Source organism: Homo sapiens, chromosome 1 (assembly GCF_000001405.40).
Source record: "Homo sapiens chromosome 1, GRCh38.p14 Primary Assembly".
Lineage (NCBI taxonomy): Eukaryota > Metazoa > Chordata > Mammalia > Primates > Hominidae > Homo > Homo sapiens.
Window position 1 is genome coordinate 91,609,427 of NC_000001.11, and position 3,534 is coordinate 91,612,960.

General features: G+C 46.7%; 2 annotated features.

The window, feature by feature from the left end:
* Window positions 1,814-2,315: an enhancer, noted in NCBI's record as "H3K4me1 hESC enhancer chr1:92076797-92077298 (GRCh37/hg19 assembly coordinates)". NCBI's record gives its function as "activates a minimal SCP1, AML or CMV promoter by ChIP-STARR-seq in naive H9 embryonic stem cells {active_cell/tissue: H9 hESC(naive)}" and the evidence as "EXISTENCE:reporter gene assay evidence [ECO:0000049][PMID:30033119]".
* Window positions 2,316-2,815: an enhancer, noted in NCBI's record as "H3K4me1 hESC enhancer chr1:92077299-92077798 (GRCh37/hg19 assembly coordinates)". NCBI's record gives its function as "activates a minimal SCP1, AML or CMV promoter by ChIP-STARR-seq in naive H9 embryonic stem cells {active_cell/tissue: H9 hESC(naive)}" and the evidence as "EXISTENCE:reporter gene assay evidence [ECO:0000049][PMID:30033119]".

A 3,534-nucleotide genomic window follows, 5' to 3' on the forward strand; every position in this document is an offset into this window, starting at 1 on the left:
CCTCCAGGCCATGCAGACAGCCCCATACCCTAAATCCCATGTACGCCATCTACGTTTCTTCTCTCTACTTTGTTTAATAAATCAAAAATTGGCTAAAGGGAGGAGGTGGTCAAGGATGCCATGACCCACTAAACAGTCTAAACAGAACGCAGCAATGTCACTACACTAGAGCTGGAAATGGGGTAGCAGAATGCCAGCTCCCATAGCAAACCCCAGGATGAAAGTGAAAGCTGGGGTGAAAAGGCCTAGAACTTGCTTCCAGAGCACAGGTGACAGAATCCCTGAACGTGAAACATTCTTCTCTCGGGGATGATGACTTAGCACTGAGGTATCTTCTGGAGCCCTGAGTCACTCAGCTCCAGGAATGATGGGTGTGGACCAGACTGGAAATTCACTGGACCGTTTTCAGTGTAACTTGGACCCAACCTAAGCATCTGGGGGACCTGGAAGAGACCCATGTCATCTGGTCTAGGCCCCAGTTCCAGGCAAATGGTAGAAAAGCTTTTCGTTATGGGATGACTCTGATCCTGAGCTGACAGGAGAATCCCATAGAATTGAGACGCTCCAGCACCACCTTGGATTTTGCCCCACTGTCTGGTTCTGTGAAAGAGCGAAAAAAGTCAGGATGAATGAACCAGTGCATGAACAAATACATCATAGCCTTCCTTCCTCCGCAAAGGTAGAATCTTGGCAGTAGCCATCTGCCAGGGCAAGGAATGGCCTGAGAGGGTTAGGGGAGAGGCAGAGATGTCTAGGAAGTCATGAGGCTGCCACACAGTAGGAAGAGGAAGGCCTTCCATCTGCGGCTCCAGCCACAATTCAGGAGATCCCTGAGCTCCACCCATGGAAGCTTGGACAAGCCACATCTCTGTTCCTAATATGTTCCTACATATGTTCTCTAATCTCTAATATGGGAAGAATAGTCACAGCTTCCCTGCTTCCTCTGTGAGATAACACAGTCTTAACTGTTTTCACTGAAAAGTTGTCAGTGCACCCACAACTCCACCCTCCCTACTGACTCTGGGGCTGGCGAGCAGCCTTTCCCAATGTAATTATGGTTTCAGAACTTGATTTGATCCGTGTAATAAGCAAAACCATGTAATGAAAAGCCATGTTAAATGGAAATCCCATCCGAGTATTTTTGTGCTGGATCTTAGGAAGAACTCAAAGTGGGACACGTGAGGAGAGGACTGTGCTGATGAGAGCAAAGGAGAGAGCTGGGGTCTTGGAATAGGAAAAGGCCCATAGGTACTAGGAAGCTAATGAGTAACTAGCCATGGGCTACTGTGGTAAGAAGGGCAAGTATTTTGGATAAAACATGGAAGGGCTTCTTAACAGAAAAGGTTTGCTGCTACCAGCTGACCATACTATAAATCTTGCATTAATGCATTCACTTACTCATAAGTATTTAACATGCCCACCCCACTACTCTTGCTCAGGGACTGGGAGAGGAGAAGTACAAAGCTGTACTTTGAAAGTACCCTAGAAAGGGAGTTTGAAGGACTTGGCCACGATCTTACAGGCCTTATATTGGACAGACAATGCAGCCTGCTAGGGGTAGCGCACACAGCCAGGCTGCCTGGGCCCAGATCTGCCGTTTATGAGCTCTGCAACCTTGGGCAAGTTGCTTAATCATGCTGCGCTTCAGTTTCCTCACTTAGAAAGTAGAGATAACAATAGTCATTTTTTCATTAGGCTGTCGTGGGGAATAAACGATTTAATACATGAAAAGTATTTATAATAGAACAGAGCCTGCCACATCATATGTGCCCAATAATGTTAGCAATTATTGTTCCCTAGAAAGGGAGTTTTCAAGGAGGTGGCATCATCATCCAACATCAGCAGATTATTCCATGCATCGCAAAGTCAAATTTAACATTTTGCTTTTTTCTATTATATATAATAAACTTATTTGCTCACTTCTAACATTTGTCATTTTCAGCCTTCATTTTACCAGCACAGACTCTAGCTCTCGGTATTTGGGCCTTAAGATCTTCACAAACAAACAAATCTTTCTGAAATAGAAAAAAAAAAAAACAGACCCAAAAATCTAACACTATAGTGACCTCCTACTAGGCTTTAAGTTTAAACGGATTAGGGCAGGAAGTTTTACGTTCCTGTCGTATTTGCTGAAGGTGTATGGCAGGGTGCGGCGCCTGTTGCAGGATTCCAGCAGGGCCTGCCCTGGCTCCCCAGGGCTTTGCAAGGAAGCTGGAGAAGTCCGCCACCTCGCTGTCACTGCACATCAGTAGACCCCTATCCCCACCCGCAAACTCAGGGCACCCACAGTCTCTCCAAGGACTGCAGTTTTGTCGCCAGATTGTGGGAACATCTGTCTTGAATCTAAAGAGACAAAACAGATGGGCTTGGTTTCGGAGTTCCGCCCACTCCCCAGTGTGCTGTTGTTAGTGACCACAGGAGTGGGAGCAGTCCAGAGAGGTTCAGCCCAGGAACTCATTAAACTAAGCTCCTCCGAAAGGCACCTTCCAGTGTGGATGGGGGCAAGGAGGGAGGAGGGCAACTGGGGCCCAGCAGAACTCCTTCCTCCCAGAGCCCTTACAAAGGCAAGGGAGGTCGGCCTGGGCCAAGCTCCCCGCCCACCCTCCCAGCTTTGCACCCCCTTCTCAGCCAGACCCACTGCCCTCTCACAATGCAGAAATGAAGATGGAAGGAAACAGGGAACATGCAACCGCCAGACTCCCTCTGGAGCCCAAGTAACTGTTCCACAGTGTGCATAAAGGGGCCAAGCTGGTGCTCCTCCGGCTTGATGGAGTTGGTCAGTAGAAACTAGGATGTCCCAACCTTGTGATCCGTGGTCCATGCAGCACATTGTAGAGACATTGGTTGACTTTTCCATGAGTTAAACCCTGTCTGGGGATGGCATCCCAGACCCAGTCCGGAATGAAGGACATGACTGAGTAATAAGGGGACTGTGTGCTTAACAGAAGACATGACTGAGTAATAAGGGGGCTGTGTGGTTAATAGAAGCCCTGTGTTGCCGAATCAGGCTCACACTGGAGCCATGCAGCACCTCACAAGGGGAGCTGAACTCCGACAAGCACCACCGCCCTGATGTGCAACTGTGTTGAACAGCCTGGCCTAGAGCAAAGTCACCAGGATCACCAAGTAAAGCTTCCCTTATTTGAAAAACTCACATATAAATATTATGACCTAGTCTGCTCACCCTCATATTTTAGAATAATATTAGGATAACAATAATAGCTGCCACTTGGGGGCTTACTATATGTCAGATAATATACCAGCCATTTTTCCAATATTATCTCATTTAGTATTCATGAAAATTCTAGCGTTTTTTTAATCCCATTGTTCAGATGGTAAAATTGAGAATTGAAGAAACTAAGTAATTTCCCCAAGATGACATATCTGGTAAAGGGCAGAGACAGGATTTTAAACCAGATCTGTTTGATGTCAAAACTCACATTCTCTCTCCCCACAAAACCCTCCACGTGCTGCACAGTGACACAGTTCAGACAAGGACTAAATTCTATGGAAATAGTGAAAATACCTGGATTT